General features: G+C 44.9%; 1 annotated feature.

Moving 5' to 3' along the window:
* Nucleotides 1-950: an enhancer, noted in NCBI's record as "H3K4me1 hESC enhancer chr18:47283654-47284603 (GRCh37/hg19 assembly coordinates)". NCBI's record gives its function as "activates a minimal SCP1, AML or CMV promoter by ChIP-STARR-seq in naive H9 embryonic stem cells {active_cell/tissue: H9 hESC(naive)}" and the evidence as "EXISTENCE:reporter gene assay evidence [ECO:0000049][PMID:30033119]".

Genomic DNA, 17,750 nt, shown 5'->3' with positions numbered 1-17,750 from the left:
CTGCTCCAGCCCCTCCCACCTCCCCGCCCATCCCGAGGTGCCCCACCCACATCCCCGCCCACTTGAGAAAGCCCCACCCATCCCTGCCGGCCCCGCCCCACCTGCTGCCCTCAGCTGCTCAGCAAACCCCAGCTCTTACCCCCGGCCCCTGCCAGGCTTCTGCCCTGCCTGGCATCCTCCCCAACTCTGTCTCCTCATTCATGTCTCTGCCCAAATGTCATCTTCACAGAGAGACTCGCCCTTGACTCACTGGCCCGCCACCAACCGCTCTATGGCATCACGGTCTCTATGGCCTTTATTCTGAATGCCGTCTTTCCTCTCAGTTTGCTTCCACTTGGTTTTGCTCTGAGGGCAGAGGCAAGCGTCTTTATCACCACTCTACCTCCACACTGAGAAAAGCACCCGGCCCGCAGTGGATGCTGGACAGTGGGACGGTGAATGGTCAGTGACCTCTTGACCTCACCCCCTCATCTGCAATGGGGCCCAAGAGGGTCTCCAAGTCTGCCCTGGCTCTCACGTTTATCTTCCCTTCCCTCCGTCCTGCTCATCCAGAGCCACACATTGGCTGTCGCACACTGGCTCGGTTTGGTCGCCAAATTCTTGATCTCATCCTTTCCGCAATTCAGGACAGAAGGGAGACAAGATGGAGGAGAAAATGATCCCAGGAGATGCCGAAGAGGCGAAGGGCTCAGAAAGGAAGACATTGTTTCTAGGAGTGGGTGGGGTCTTTCCGGCCTGTGCCCTCACACAGACTGCAGTGCATTCAAAGTCAGAGGGGACAGAGGGTCAGAGCTGCTCTGTGACAAGAGACCAGGTGGGCAGCAGGGGCTCTGGGAGGTGGCAAGGTCAGGATCCAGAAGAGGGCCCAGCTCTTGCCACGAAGGACAGGAGGCCCAGAGACCTCAGCCTGGCCCATCCGCCAGACCAAGGCCCAGTTTAGGACAAAGCTCCCTCCACCCAGAACACCCAAGCTGACTTTGTTCCTCTTTTAGGCAGTTTTTGATAATTCTTTGAGCCAGGGTGACCCTATCGGTTATTGCTCAAGCTGGATACTTTTGAGAGTCAAAGGGGAACTATTAATAATTAAGCCAGGACAACAGGCATAAGGTAGGCCCGTCTCAGGCAAGTCGGGGTGTAGGGTCACACTATTTTAATCCCATTTCACTAGATTAAACATCATAAAATATAATGCAGGCAAGGAGGCCCAAGATGCTCCTAGAGAATTAATCCATCCTTGCAAATTCAAGAAAAAACTCGTAGTAGGGGGAGAGGCAGGAAGATGTGAATTCTAAATCAAGCCACCCATGACTCCTGGTAAAGTGGACAGGGCCTGGCAAGGGTGACTCTAGACACAGTCACAGTGGCCTTGGGTACCTTCCCTCTCCACCACATTGGTGAGGATTGGGCAGACCATAAAGACCGGGAGGGCTCTGAGGAGGTGGTGAGCGTGCACAGATGCACACCTGCCACTGCCTTGTTCCCCGTGTCTCACCCCCAGCTGCAGTTACCTAGTATTTGTCAGGAAGGTACATTCCAGGCCATGAAACCTTCTGAGTGTTCTGAGCTCCTGCAGACCCAGGAGCTAAATGCAGTTGATGGGAGCCATTCATTCCCCATGAAGTCAGTGGACTGTCTTGGAAAATGCTCCCTAAACGCTATCTTGTGGCCTAGAGGGCACTGGGCAGAGAAGGTGAATTAATGCCATTATTTAGCTGATACTTTCTCCTTGCAAAGGCTCTCTGGTTTCTCTCAACGCAGCCCCAGGACTCACTCGTGGGCTGTCTCCCTTGCTTTTCCACCAGTTTGTTTGGTTTTATTCCACTGTGTTTCCTTAGTTCGCCTGTCTGCACTTGGCTGCCCCATGATCTGCCCTGACAGAAGCGTTGGAATTTTCTGAGTCCAGCCACAGAGGTGCCTGTCCAGCATGGAGCAGCCAGCAAGCCCGGCTGGACTCCAGAGTGGAGCCTTTGCGAGGGGCCAGTCATGGTTCTCTCTGAAAAATTCATTCACTGGGTCCCCTGGTCACCCTGCATTAGAGAGTCTCCTTCCAGTTCTGTAGGCCCAAGAGCCCCCAGTGATGAGTAGACAGGAATAAGAATCAGGGGTCAGTGACTGAGTGGTTGTGGAGACTGCAGGCATTCCCCTGTGCTCAGTGACAGTGGTGGGTTCTGCCGCTATTCACCAACAGCACATCCTGATCAGGGCCCTGCTGTGTGCTGGGCCCTGTGCTAGGCACTGGGAGCAGCAGTGGACAAATGGAGAGAGGTCCCTGTCCTCACTGAGCTTACATTCAAATGGAGGAAACTGACAGTTCATAAATGGATATGTACTTAGGGTCAGTAGGTTCAGTAAAGAAAAGTACCAGGTGAGGACGTGGGAAGTAACTGAGGTTGGGGTGTGGAGTGTGTGCTATTTCAGGGAAGGATCAGGAAAGCCTCTTTGAGCAAAGACTGGAGTGAAATGAGGGTGCAGGACACAGAAACTCCCTGGGGAAGGACAGTCTCAGGCAGGAGGAACAGCAAATGGACATTCTCAAAACAGGGGGAGGCTCTGAGGCTTGAGAGGATAGAAGGACGCTGGAGTCAGCGAGGTGGTGACCAATGGCCAGAGTATCTGCCTTGTAGGCCAAGGTCAAAGGCTTCAATCTCCCAGTGAAACTAACGTAGGATCAACCCCCAGCACAATGCCTGGCACATAATAATCAGTAGGAGTAGCAAGGATGACAACGATGATAACGATGATGACAACCAGCATATCTGCTTAGTAAATATTTTCCTCTCAGTTACATGGTTTGCTGGGAGCTGGCAGGGGTTGGCAGGTGTGATAAACTAACCAGCACAGCTCTCAGGGCCCTTTCTCATCTATTATCTCACTGGATCTTTAGAGCAGCCTTGGAGGGTAAATGATTGGATATTATTATGATGCCACCTCTCAGTAGTTGCTTAACCTCCACTGGCCTTAGTTTCATCATCCGTAAAATGGGAGAATACCGACCCCCAAAGAAGTAATTTGAGGATTGAAGGAGACACACTGGGAAAGGAGGACACAACACCAACCAAATCGAAATGGAAATTAGCTCCATTTACGTTACAGATGATGAAACTGGAGCTTGAGCTCAGGTGCCCACGGGTTGCCTTCCATTCTTGCAGCACAGAAAACAAAGGCTGCTGAGTCAAACATGTTTGTGACTAGATGTATCTACCCAGAAGAATGTTCATTTGCCCAGAACACTCTTCCAATCCAAATGTCTGAGTCAGTGATTACATCCAGACAAGCTTGATGTGAGGATGTGATTTCTATCTTCCTCTGAGATAATTAACTGAAAGGTAGCAAAGTGAGTTTACTGATAGTTGTAAGTCGCTCATTTTCTAAGTATTAGAAAGCTAGAGAAAACCTTCATGGGCTTTTGCCTAAAAATGAGTTTAGTTCTCCACTGTGGATATGCAGAGCCCTTCCCTTCCCCATCTCCCTTCTGAAGATATTCTCAGGGGAGGGGCTGAAACTTATGGGAAATAGCAATAATACATATGAACATGTGTACTTGGGAAATGTGGGCCTTCACAGAAATGAGAGCATAAGATTAAGGACTTCATAGAAAAATATATATTGAATAACCACAAAAAGTTAAACATCAATTTTAAAGGGTATCTTGTGATAGAAATCGAAACAGTGATTGCCTCTGGGGCAGGCGGACATTGACTGGAAAAGAATATAAGGGAACCTCTCCCAGGAAATGCACATGTCTACAGTTTGTGAGGGGTGGTGGTTATTCCACAGGTATATACAATTGTCAAAAAGAGAGTTTTGATACATATGTCAGAACTATATGCATATGTACACCTAAGTGTGTGTTATTGTATGTGATTATACCTCAATAAAAAAGACTGCTGGAGAAAAGAATACTTCTTACAAAAGCAACAAAAATATAAAGAACGAATAAATAAATCTAACTGAAGATGTATAAAACATCAATGGAAAAAAGTACGAAACTTAATATTGAAGAAGTTAAATAGATATGCCAAGCTTGTGAATACAATGATTCAATGTTACAAAGATGTCAGTTCTGCCTAAATTAATTTTTGAAGTTACTGTACATTTCATATCACTGACAGTTTTAAATCCAATTAAACTTAATGTCAAGTATGTTGAGAAATGCTAACACATACACACTGCTAATAAAAGTGGAAAGAAATATCAAAAGTGCACATATTCTACAATCCAGCACCATCGCTCTTAGACACTTATCCTATCCCTCAGGTCTTCAAAAGGAAATATGTACAAGGATAGTCACTGCAGCATGATTTATAACAAAAGCAAAGACAAAAGACCTGGGAAACAGCCTAGATGCCTGTCAACCAGATGGATACATTGTGGTATTTTCACATAATGGAATACTATACAGCAGTGAACATGAATAAACTACAACTACATGTATCAACACATTGTGTGTGTGTGTGTGTGTGTGTGTGTAAATAAAATTTAGAAACACCTACACATGTAGCAAAAAAATAAAGAGATGCATGGGAATGATAAATAACAAATTAATTAGAGTGGTTACCCATGTTGGGAAGATAGGAAGTAAGGGAGGTTCAGTGCTTCTGCTTCTGGAAGGACTCTGGCCAAGGTTGTTGATGAGAGGAAGAATATGCCAGAGTTTTAATTGTATTTGTAACACTTTACTTTATAAGCTGGGTGATGGGTTCATGGGGGTGTATTACATTCTTTCTTATACTTTTTCTACATCTTAAGTATTTTATAATCATTCAAAAATCTTCACTGAGCCTAGATATTGACACCTGATATCAACCAACAGTTATCGTCCATCTAACTCAGGGATGCTGGGATTACAAGAAAGACAGGGCCCTTGCCATGACTCAGTTGTTAAGTTAGGCAAGATGCAACCCCCGGCTTATTGACTCTGAAACTGGAATATCAGACATCAGCATCAGCATGGGCAGGGATAAGCCAAACCTCTACCTCATTGCCACATAATCAAGTCTCTTGCCAGGGATCACTTAGGTAGCATGGAAAGTTTCCAGGGTTAACCTCAGAGGCAGTTTAAATATGCCCCTGCCCATGAGGGGGGACCCTCTTCCTTTTCTTGTGGGAAAACATGCAGAAGACCTTCCTGGGCTGTAAAACAACAACTTTGGCCAGAGTCCTTCCAGAGGCAGAAGCACCAGCTTCAACCAAAGCCATCTCCAGCCTGGAGACCTCCGGCCTGCAGGTAAGTGGAACTGGACAAGTGTTTGCTCAGCTCACACCAGGGAAGGCACATGCTTACTTTCTAGTTAGACAGAGTGCAGAAACATGAGGTTAACATGAAAATGGGCAAGTTAAATAGCAGATACCACTGCTATTTAAGGCACGACCTTTGCTGGGAATGCCAGATTGATGAGCCAAAAAGCAGTGCAGGCATTATAGTTTCCTGGACTTGGAGAAGTGAGCAGTCCCCTCTGGCTGCGCTATCCATTCTGTTCTTAGGCATGGCTGGGAGCCTGTCTCTGATTGGGGTATGTCTTAGAAGTGATTGTGTTCCTCCCTGAACACCCAACTCCATTGAATGGTTCCTGAAAAGGCCAGGGTTTCAGACCAAGTTGGCATCGCCTCTTCTAAGGCAAGTGATGACCAGAAACAGTCCAAGGCAGAGCTCTCAGTCAAGCTCAGCTTTGGGGCTTTGGTTCCCAGGTATCTGGAGATCAAGCATCCAATAAGGTACCCAAGATTCTGGTTACCACTTTCCCCAGTTCTTCCAGGGACCCTTGAATGGCCCTGGGCAAGTCACTTAACCTCCCCGTTTCTCCAGCTGTATCTCTACATCACAGTTATCAGGGGAAGAATGCAACAGGGGATGGAAAAGCACCTTCTGAAGTGTAAAGCAGTCTCCCACTGTGGGAGAGCATTGCCGGGAATCAAAGCCTTGAACTTAAGAATGTAGCTTTCCAAAGAGGATTGGGGCATCCGCTAATGGGTAGGAGAATTCTTTGGAGGCAGGGTGGACAGGAGGGCTCTGCGGGCCTCTGGGAACCATGCCCTAGGGATCCATCTATGGAAAGGCTAGCCCTGGAGAAAGTGCTGCTGGATGCATGACTGCTCAAAGTTGACACTCCAAATTGCCATCACCTGTGGAGACTTGTTTAGCAGGGCTGGGCAGAGCCAGATAATATTCACTTCTTTCCTATTGTCCAGAACAAAACCTGTCATCAACCTGTTCTCTCCACTGTCACTTATTGCTTGTTATTTGCTGTCACACACAAGCACACACATGTGCACACACATACACACACACATACAAAGCTACCACTTCCTGAGAACCTGCTACACCCAGGCTTTGGTTACATTTCATTGCTAAACCCTCACAACAACCCTTGCTACTCTCCGTCCCATCTTACACCAGAAAATTGCCACTCAGGAAGATTAAGCACCTCGTCCAAGGTGACATAGGCGGAAAGTGCTGGAAGAGGGATGTACTCCCAAATATGCATCAGCCACAGAATCGCCCTGCATTTCACCATCATGTGGTCTCTCCTTTAAAGTGATGATGACCATGAGCCAGTTTTCCCGGAGTGAGGATGGGGTGCTGGAGCCACCCACCCTATCCTGGCTGTCCCCACAGGGAGATTTGGGGTGGCAGCAGTGGGGAGGAGGTTGATGGCTCTGTCTGCAGCCCTGGAACACAGTGGGGCTGCTGAGCCCTACCGGGGTCACTGGCAGGGGACCCTCCCCTGCCTGGCTCACTGGCCATCCAAAGGGGAAGCCCAAATGCTTCCTGATCTGTGCCCAGGGCGAGCAGCTCAGAGACGGCTTCCAAACTCACAACCCCATTTCATTTGCACAGAAACTCCCTGAGGAGGCAAGACAGGGACATGATCTCTCTGGGCAGCTGAGGAGTTCAGGGTTCAAAGAGATGAGACATGGGAGAGCTGGGGCTCCAGCCTAGGACTTCTGACTCTTAGTAAAGTCAGTCGAGCTCTCTCCACTTGCCAAATGCCTCTTAGTAGAAAGCAAAGATAGACAAATTATCTGCCTCCTGCACTGATGTTCACCCAAAGTAAACCACCCAAGTTATGCCCTGAATACTGCCTCCAAGTTATTTTCTAAATTATTCTTAAATTCATAAAAATATATGAACATGTTCCTTGTAAAAACAATAAAATAAGTGTCGGGCACAGTGGCTCACACCTGTAATCCCAGCACTTTGGAAGGTTGAAGCAGGAGGATCGCTTGAGGCCAGGTTCAAGATCAACCTGGGTAACACAGCAAAACCCTGTCTCTACAAAATATGTATATTTTTAAAATTAGCCAGGTGTGGTAGCATGAACTTGTAGTCCCAGCTACTCAGGAGACTAAGGCAGGAGGATTGTTTAAGCCCAGGAGTTTGAAGTTACAGTGAGCTATGATGATGCCACTGTAACCCAGTCTGGGCAGCAGAGCAAGACTCTGTCTAAATAAATAAATATTCTGAAGCTAAAACTTTCTTTAACTGCCCTGAGCTCAATGTCCTTCCCACATATAACCAACGCTGCCAGTATGGTACATTTCCTTCCAGACTTGTTTCATTTATATTTGTACTCAGATATTAATAGAAAATACAAAGTATTGTTTTGTAGCTTTTTTTTTTTTTTTTGAGACAGAGTTTCACTCTTGTCACCCAGGCTGGGGTGCAGTGGTACCATCTCGGCTCACTGCAACCTCCACCTCCCGGGTTCAAGAGATTCTCCTGCCTCAGCCTCCCAAGTAGCTGGGATTACAGGCACCTGCCACTACACCTGGCTAACTTTTGTATTTTTAGTGGAGAGGGGATTTCACCATGTTGGCCAGGCTGGTCTCGAACTCCTGACCTCAGGTGATCCGCCCGCTTCAGTCTCCCAAAGTGCTGGGATTAGAGGCATGAGCCACTGCGCCTGGCCTCCACCCAATTTTTTACAAAGGTGCAAAAGCCTGTCAATGGAGGAAAGATAACCTTTCACCCAATGGATGTCCAATGGAGCAATTGGACACCTGTCCGAAAAAAATGAACCCCAACCTCAATCGCACATCTTATACAAAAATTGACTCAAAATGGGTCACAAACTTGAACATAAAGCATAAAACTATACAACTTTTAGAAAAAAATAGGAAATCTTCAGGGTATAGAGCTAGGCAAAATGTTCTTAGACTCAATACAAAAAGCATAATCCACAAAGAAAACATTGATAAATTGGGCTTCATCAACATTTAGAACTTTAGACTGGGAGAAAATATTTGCAAGCTGCATATCTGACAAAGCACTAGTTACTAGACTATATAAAGAACTCACAGCAGTAAAATAAGACCAATCAATCGAACAAGGAAATGGGCAAAACCCACAAAGAGACATTTCACTGGAGAGGTGTACAGATGGCAAACAAGCACAAGATGTCCAACATCACTAGCTACTGGGGAAACGTGAGTGAAAACTACAGTGATATGTCACTACATGCCTATCAGAATGGCTGACATAAAAACAGTGGCAACACCAAATGATGATGAGGATGTGGAGAAACAGATCGCTCATATGTTGCCGGTGGGTACGTCAAATGTTACAGCCACTCTGGAAAACGGTTTGGCAGTTAGAAACACTAAACATGCAACGATAATACTACCTAGTGATCGCACTTTGGGGCATTTATCTCAGAGAAATGAATACTCAAGTTCACACAAAAAACCATAAATGAATGTTTATCATAGCTTGACTTAAAATAGACCCAAACTGGAAGGTATTCGTCCCTGGGTATGTGATTGAACATGCTGCGGTTCATCCATGCCACGGAACAGCAATAAAAAAGAAAAAAACTATTGATAAGCAACCTGGGTGAATTGCCACGGAATTAGGCTGAGTGAAAAAAAGCTAATCCCGATAAATTACGTTACATGATTTCATTTAAATAACCTTCTAGACATGATAAAGTTATGGAAATGAATAACAGATTAGCCATTGAGAGGGATTAAGGAGTGCCGGGGTGCGAGGGAAGTGGGCGTGCCTGGTAAAGGGCCGCGTGATCTTTGCGGTGATGGAAGTGCTTTGTATCTCAGCTGTGTCAGTGTTGATATTCTGGTTGTGAGATTGTACTACAGTTTTGTATGATGTTACCTTTGGGGAAACTCAGGTAAAGGGTACAGGGGTCTCTCTGTATTATTTCTTCCAACTGCATATGAATCTATAATTATCTCAAAATGAAAAGTTTAATTAAAAGGAGAGTTTGTCCATCTGACAGGTAAAGCATAGCATCTCTTGGTTTCAATATTTAATGAGGTTGAGCACTTGGGGCATTGTCACTCGGGAGTGTTTGATTATGTGGTAATCAAATTATGAGACTTCAGGCCTGGTGCATTGGCTCACACCTGTAAAGAACTCTGGGAGGCCGAGGCAAGTGGATCACCTGAGGTCAGGAGTTTGAGACCAGCCTGGCCAACATGGTGAAATCCCCTCTCTACTAAAAATACAAAAGTTAGCAAAGTATTTGCTGTAATCCCAGCTACTGGGGATGCTAAGGCAGGAGAATCACCTGAACCCGGGAGGTGGAGGTTGCAGTGAGCTGAGACTGCACCACTGCACTCCGGCCTGGGCAACAGAACAAGACTCCGTCTCAAAAAAAAAAAAAAAAAAAAGACTTCAAACTTTTCCTTTCCACTCTGTGTGTCTGTGTGTGTGTGTTTGTGTAGAAGGCCTTCTTTTCCCCAAGGTCATCAATATATTTTATATTTTCTTCTAATGTATTTATAGCATTCCTTAATCTATCCCCCATTTATCTTTGTAAGTGGTATGAGGTAAGGTTGCAACTTATTTTTTCCTCCTAATAGATAACCAACTTTCCCAACACTGAATCATATTTCCTTTCCTACTGACTGGAAGTGACATTTCTTATAAAATACTAAATTCCTATGCATATGTGAATTTGTTTTTCGACTTCCTGTTTTGTTCCATTTGTGGAAGAAACAAAAGGAAGAAGAAAATAAACTTAACCCAAGGAATGTAAGTCCCTTTAAACCATCAGGCTCAGAGAGGCACTGGAATGAATCAGCAGCCACATCCATCCCCCTTGAGCTAAATAATTACCTCTTGAAGCCACTTGTTAAGGGGCTCTGGACTGACATTGAGTAGCTATAAGATGCCACACGTTGGACGCCTTAACTCCTACCCTGTAGTTCAACAGTGTATAGCCAATCACAAATCATGTTATTTCTGTCAACCAATGAGAATTCCTATCAAACAACTTCGTCCAGCCCACTCCTGTTCCCTTTAAAAATCTGCTTGCAGCAAAGGCTATGGGAGCACGCCCCAGGGCAACGTGGAAGTGTGTCCCAGGCAGCTGTCCTCACTTTGGCTCAACTAAAGATGCCTCAGCCTCTTCCTTTCAGGTCAACACATTAATCCAATTGTTTATTCCTGTGCTGAGAAAATGATGTATTTCTAATATATTTTTTTCTAATAGTTTCTAACATATCTTTGTAGCTCACTGTTCTTTCTTTAAATGGACTTGGCTATTACTGTATATTTATCCTTTCACAAGATTCAGAATAAACTTATCAAGATACAAAGTTTCAAAACAAGTGTATCAGAAAAATAAACACTATTTCTCCTCTCACACGGTCAACACTCAACACTTCACCCCAAAATGTGTGGGGATATCTCTCCATCAGCAACCAATGCCCTGGCAAACACCAAGTAACTGTACTATAGTTTAACTTAATTCTGACACTGTCTGCCTGGAGATACCATCAGATCCCACACGTTAGGACTTAGTCCCACAAGACTGCCCCCCAATGGGATTGTCAGTTCAGATGCCAGTCACAAGTAGTAGGTTGTCACCTATACTTCTAACCAATCAGTTATAAATCAGGGTTCCCACTACCCCTTCCTTGCATTAGATTAATTTACTAGGATGGCTCACTGAACTCAAGGAAATACTTAATGTTTACCAGTTTATTAAATGGGATATTACAAAGGATACAGATGAACAGCCAGATGGAAGAGATGCATGGGGCAAGGAATGTGGGAAGGGTGGGGAGCTTCCCTGCCCTCTGTGGACTTGCTGCCCTCCAGACACATCCATGTGTTTGGCAACCAGGATGCCCTCCAGACCCTGTCCTTCTGGATTTCTATAGAGGCTTCCTTACTAGGCGTAACTGATCAAATAATTGGCCATTTGCGATTAACTCAACCTCCAGTCTCCTCTCCCCTCCTGTATTAGTCCATTTTCACACTGCTATAAAAAACTGCCTGAATAAAGAAAAGAGGTTTAATTGACTCACAGTTCTGCATGGCTGGGGAGGCCTCAGGTAACTTACAATCATGGCAGAAGGGGAAGCAGGCACCTTCTTCACAAGGCGGCGAGAGAAAACAGAATGAATGTGGGTGGGAGGAAATGTCAGACACTTACAAAACCATCAGATCTCGTGAGAACTCATTATCATGAGAACAGCAAGAGGGAAACTGCCCCAATGATCCAATCACCTCCCACCAAGTCCCATCCCCAACGTGGAAATTATGGGGACTACAGTTTAAGAAGAGATTTGGGTGGGGACAAAATTATGGGGATTACAATTTGAGATGAGATGTGGTTTGGGTGAGTCAAGCCACCGCACCTCCCCACAGGTGGAGGAGGTAGGGCTGAAAATTTCAACCCTCTAATCATCAGCTAACCAGCTCCCATCTGGCAGCTAGCTGGGGGCTTGCTGAAAGTCACCTTATTAACATAAACTCAGGTGTGGTGGAAGGGGCTTTTAGGAATTTTAAAAGACACTCCTTTCACCTGTATCACTCTGGTGCTATTTCAGGAACCAGGGACAAAGACCAAATGTAATAACAATAGATGCTCCTTTTACCTTTACCACTTAGGAACTGACAAGCATTTTAGGAGCTTTGGCCAGGAGTGAAGACCAGAATATATATTTCTTCTTATATCACAATATCACACCCTGTCTTCAAATACAGTCACATTCTGTGGTAATGGAGGTTACGACTTCAACATACGGAATTGGAGAGGACACAGTTGAATCCATAACACGGCAAAATCCTTCTCAAACTTCAAGGCCTTCCCCACCCTGCCTGCATGTTCCAGCCTATCTCACCTTTCCAAATGGCCATTTCCTGGGACAAAACAAATGACCCCTGTCCTGCTCAGCCACAGGTTGACTCCTATCCTCCTTGCAGTATCAATCACAGCACCTCTAATGATCTGTTCATGGGCCGGTCTTCCCTACTGCACTGTGAGCAACTTCATCTTAGAAGCTACTCCCCTTCAGCTCCTGGTGTTCTGTGTATTAGGGAGTCTCCCCTCTTTGGGTCTCTGATCATCCATCCAAATGAGAAAAGCGAGGCTTACACTTGTCAACGCTCTCGGTGCTTTGCCTCCTGCAGCAGGTGCCGGGCATGAGCGCCAGAACAGTGTTTGCTCTCAGCATGGTCACCGGACCTTTGCCCGAAGGTGGACCATGCAAGTGTGAGTGTCTGCAGAGATGCAGAATCACACACAGCTGGACTGAGACTGATGGAAAGGGAATGTGCTCTGGGTCAGGAAGCACCCATGAGATGGGCCTTACCCCAGGAGAGGAGGTGCAATCATTTTTAGAATAGGCTAGAATGTTCCCATCAGACCTGTGCTGACATGAAATCGGCCTCTTCACTGTGTCACTTTCACAGGTGAGGCAGGTTCAAGTTCACCGCCTGCACAGCTGACCTTTCCTTGAGGACCATGGACTTCTGGTGATGACGTCTTTTCCATGGGCCCTGGGAAACAGAGTGGCACTAGTATGCTGGTGTATGGAGAAACTGCCCAAGAAGTGGGTGACAATGGAACTGGGCCCAACCTGCCCTGTGGCACTGCCTCTGATCTTGGCCCAGCCCCCTACAGCTGGCCACCCTTTGGTCCTGCCTTCCCTCCACACAGCAGCTGGGGCATCTGGTAGAACTTGAAGCATATGCTGCAGACACCAGATCCCTACCTTCAGGAAACCTCATATCTGAGTCACTTAAGCTGGGTGTGTGGTGCAGTTCCCATAAGCAGCTGGCAAAATGGGAGGGTCAGACAGTGAAGGCCGTGGAAGAACAGTCCCTTCCTCTGTCCTGGGCTAACTGCACTCCCTGATGTGGACAGCTCCTGTTAGTCCTGACCACCCTTCCTTCTCTTGGAGGAAGACTTTCCTTCATTCAGGTACTTACACCCCATCCCCAGCCACCCATGTGGCTCCAGTGGGGACCACCCATCATGGTTTCCCATCCCCCTGACCATGGGAGTGAGCACTTGACCCAAGATGGGCCAATCGAGGTTCTTCCCTGAAGGTGTTCACGTTAACATCAGAAGAGACTCAGCTCCATAATAATGTTGAAGATGATGTTAAAAGCAGCTGTAACACTTAGCAATTATGAACAGTGAGCACCCACTAAGTGTCAGCACTGTTGCATCATCCTCTTTAATTTCTATAGCAGTCATGAAGTAGATTCTGTGATTACCTCATTTTACAGATAAGGAATCTAAGGTCAGAAAGGTAAAGGAATTTGCCCGAGTAAATGGCAGAGCCAGAATTCAAACCCAGGCAGTCTATCTCCAGAAACATCACTCTCAGTACCTCACACACTGCCTCTTTCCCGGGGGAACTGCCAACCCAAGGCGTGCAGAGGCTGGCAGCCATGCTCCCTGCTGTGTGGGAAAGCCGCATCCAAGCCAATCTGCAGAGAAGCAGATATGAGCGATGGAAATCAGAACTTGGCAACATTTGAGTCCTTAGTTCTGCATCCTTTTTCTCCTTTCCCATCTCTTGGTTTGGTTACATGAGGCAATAAATAATCTTTTTTTTTTTTTTTTTTGAGACAGAGTCTCACCCTGTCGCCCAGGCTGGAGTGCAATGGTGTGATCTCGGCTCACTGCAACCTCCGCCTCCTGGGTTCCAGCGATTCTCCTGCCTCAGCCTCCCAAGTAGCTGGGATTAGAGGCACGTGCCACCACGCCTGGCTAATTTTTTGTATCTTTAGTAGAGACAGGGTTTTACCATGATCTCTTTTTAAAATTATTATTATTACTACTATAATTTGAGACAGGGTATCGCTCTGTTACCGAGGCTAGAGTACAATGGCATGAACATGGCTCACTGCAGCCTCGAACTCCTGGGCTTAAGTGAGTCTCCCACCTCAGCATCCCAAGTGGCTAGGACCACAGGTGCCTACCACCACACCTGGCTAATTAAAAAAAAATTTTTTTTATAAAGACAGGGGTATCACCATATTGCCCAGGCTGGTCTTGAACTCCTGGGCTCAAGCAATTCTGCTTTGGCCTCCCAAAGTGCTCGGAGGTGTGAGCCACCGTGCCCAGTCAGTGAATGATCTCTTTTTCCTAAGACGGTTCAGATAGAAGCTCTGTTACTTGCATCCTGCCTTGTGACCCTATCTCCTACCTGCCCACCTTTCCATCATTGTTGTGGTTTTCCTTCTCTTTATCTTCCACCTCTCCCCACCCTGACCCCTTTCACAGGTCCACTAAATTGCTAAAGCCTCACTCTGCCTAATAGAAACACCCCTTTCTCCTGTGAAGTCTGCACAGCTGCACCTTCCCCTCTCCTGTCATCCCACTCCGGGAAGAGCTGCCTCACTGGTGTCATCATCTGCTCCTTCCCTTGCCCTTCACTGCCAGGCTCTGATGCTTATCTCCCTTGGAGGCCAATCTCTGAAGACCCAACCCAGTGGTCTTTTCTTAGCCTTCATCCTCTTCAATCTCTTTCCCTCTTTTGTATTCCTAAATGTACAGGCCTCCCAAGGTTTTGGACTTGGCCCCACGCATGTTGGTCCTGACTTGTCCTTCTTTCGCAATCCCGTCTGTCTCCTTGTTTAGATGTCCCTACTATGGCCCTCAGATCTGTCTGTTGGTCCCTGACCCATCTCCAGCCCTGAATTCGCAGTGGCCCTGAACGCAGCCTCACCTGCATGCTTCATCAGCACCTCAAACTCAAACTGCCCAGAAAACATCTGGATATCATCAGGAAAAAGACACTGGACCCATCCCTTAGACCCTACACCAGAATACATTCCAAAAGGATGAGAGATCTGTGTTTGAATAGTGTAAAAGAAAAATTGGAGACACAATTACATTTTAAAGAGTTTATTTGAGGAAAAAGCAATTCATGAATTGGGGTATGCCAGACCAAAAAAATGTTCAATGTTCTAATGACATAGCGTCAGAGGCAAATATTTTTAGGTTGAATACGGAAAAAAGATAAAGAAATTATTTGATTGGTGACAGTTGCAAAATTATCTTATTTGATTCATCCCATTCGAAAGTCCCTAGTTATATAATTAGAAACTTTTTGTCTGCCAATAATTGGCTGAGGTTTTCTTTCTAACATAAGCATTTACCAGAAATGGCTAAAGTTAAGTTTTGCTAAAGTTTGCAAATTAAGCAAAGTTAAGATGACTTATGAGGCCTGACTGCTTTTGTCTAGTCAGAGATTCTTCAGGCTGGTCTCTCGTCATTTTAATTTACTTTAACAACAGTGAACTCATAGGAATTAGAATAAAGACTGAAACTGCAAGACTGAAAGCACATACCACTTATTAGGAAAAATCTCTAACAGTAAACCTTCAGACACATTCTGGTTAAACCATTAAACTAAAATTTTTTTTTCACATTCAGGACAAAAATAATTCACTTACAAGGAGAAAAATCAGGTGGGTTTCAGATGTCTTTCCAGCAGCAATCAGTGCCAGAGCAAAGGAGAAATGTCCAGAAGAAAAACAGAATATGACCCAAGTGGATTCTACCCAGCCAAGCTGGAGCTTAGGTATAAAGGCAAGAGCTCACATTTTCAGACATGAAGGGACTCAGAAAATACAACATCTGTTAGCCCTTGTGAAAAATCTACTTGATGGTGAGATCTTGTTAACTAAAGGTTGCATCAAAAGAGAGTCCTGCCATTCTGAAGCTGTAGAAGTGGGATTGGTAGGGAGCATGGAATCCAGGTGGATGCAGGAATGCTATTAACACCCAGGAGAGAGATGGTTTCAGATGCAGAATGAAATGTTGCAAACTCTGAAAAGTTGAAATAATTTAAGCATCGAAACCAGAAAGAAGAAGAGGGCAGGATAGACGTGTATCTAAATGTTAATCTCTTATCTTTCCCAGCGTGTATCAATCTCATCTCTACGGAAACTCACTTTTTTTTTTTTTTTTTTTTAGACATAGCACTCTGTCGCCCAGGCTGGAGTGCAGTGGTGTGATCTCAGCTCACCGCAACCTCCGCTTCCTGGGTTCAAGTGATTCTCCTGCCTCAGCCTCCCTAGTAGCTGGGATTACAGGCATGTGCCACGACACCCAGCTAATTCTTTTTGTGTTTTTAGTAGAGATGGGGTTTTGCCATGTCGGCCAGGCTGATCTCGAACTCCTGACCTCAGGTGATCTGCCCACCTTGGCCTCCCAAAGTGCTGGGATTACAGGCGTAAGCCATTGTGCCTGGCCGAAAACTCACATTTTAAAAAACCCACAATGCAAAAAAATAACAGATGCTGGTGAAGTTGTGGAGAAAAGGGAACGCTTATACACTCCTAGTGGGAATGTAAATTAGTTCAGCCATTGTGGAAAGTAGTGTGGCAATTCCTCAAAGAACTTAAAACAGAATTACCATTCAACTCAGCAACCCCATTATTGGATATACACCCAAATGAATATAAATCATTCTACCATAAAGACATATGCATGTGAATGTTCATCACAACAGCACTCACAATAGCAAAGATATGGAATCAACCTAAATGCCCAGTGGTAGACTGGATGAAGAAAATGTGATACACTTACACCATGGAATACTATGCAGCTATAAAAAAGAATGAAATCATGCCCTTTGCAGCAACATGGATGGAGCTGGACGCCATCACCCTAAGCAAATTTACACAGGAACAGAAAACCAAATGCCACATTTCTCACTTATAAGTAGAAGCTAAACGCTGAGTACATATGACACAAAGAAAGGAATGACAGACACCAGGGCCTACTTGAGGGTGAAGCGTGGCAGGAGGGTAAGGAATGAGAAACTACCTATCGGGTACCATGCTTATTACCTAGGTGATGAAATAATCTGTATACAAAACCCCAATGACACACAATTTACCTATATAACAAACCTGTACATGTACCCCTCAACCTAAAATAAAAGTTAATAAATAAAAAAATAAAGAACCCACAGTGAGTCCAACTTCGTACATTCCCTCAAATTTAGTACCACCTTCTAGGAATTTATTTCCTTTATAGGAAAGAACAATGATCTGAATTACAGTTTGACCGAAGCTTTTGTTCCTGTTAAATTCTTTTAAAATTAAGTGTGGTACTTATTTTCAAAAATACATCACATATAGTTAATACCATCATGATACAATTGTTTTCATCTGTTTCAGCGTCTACTCTGTCTCTCTCTCTCTCTGCCTCCATCTCTGTCTTTCTCTAGATCCTTCTTTCTTTCTATGCATAGAGAGACGTCTGGAAAGATGTCAGTCAAATGTTATAACCAATTATTTTTAGGTTGTATAATTTTTGGTAATTCGTTGCTTTCTTCTTCACACTTTTCTGTATTTCTTAATTTCTTTATAATTAGTATGTGTATTATATTAAATTATATTACACATACGTAAATATATAAATATTTTATATATGTATTATATAAATATAATATATAAAATATAATATATTTTACACATAAAATATATCATATTAGTTATATTAAAATAATCACACACTTAAAGAAAATAA

Source organism: Homo sapiens, chromosome 18 (genome assembly GCF_000001405.40).
Source record: "Homo sapiens chromosome 18, GRCh38.p14 Primary Assembly".
Taxonomy (NCBI): Eukaryota; Metazoa; Chordata; class Mammalia; order Primates; family Hominidae; genus Homo; species Homo sapiens.
Note: the sequence above shows the minus strand (reverse complement) of the source record. Positions and strands in the feature narration are given on the sequence as shown.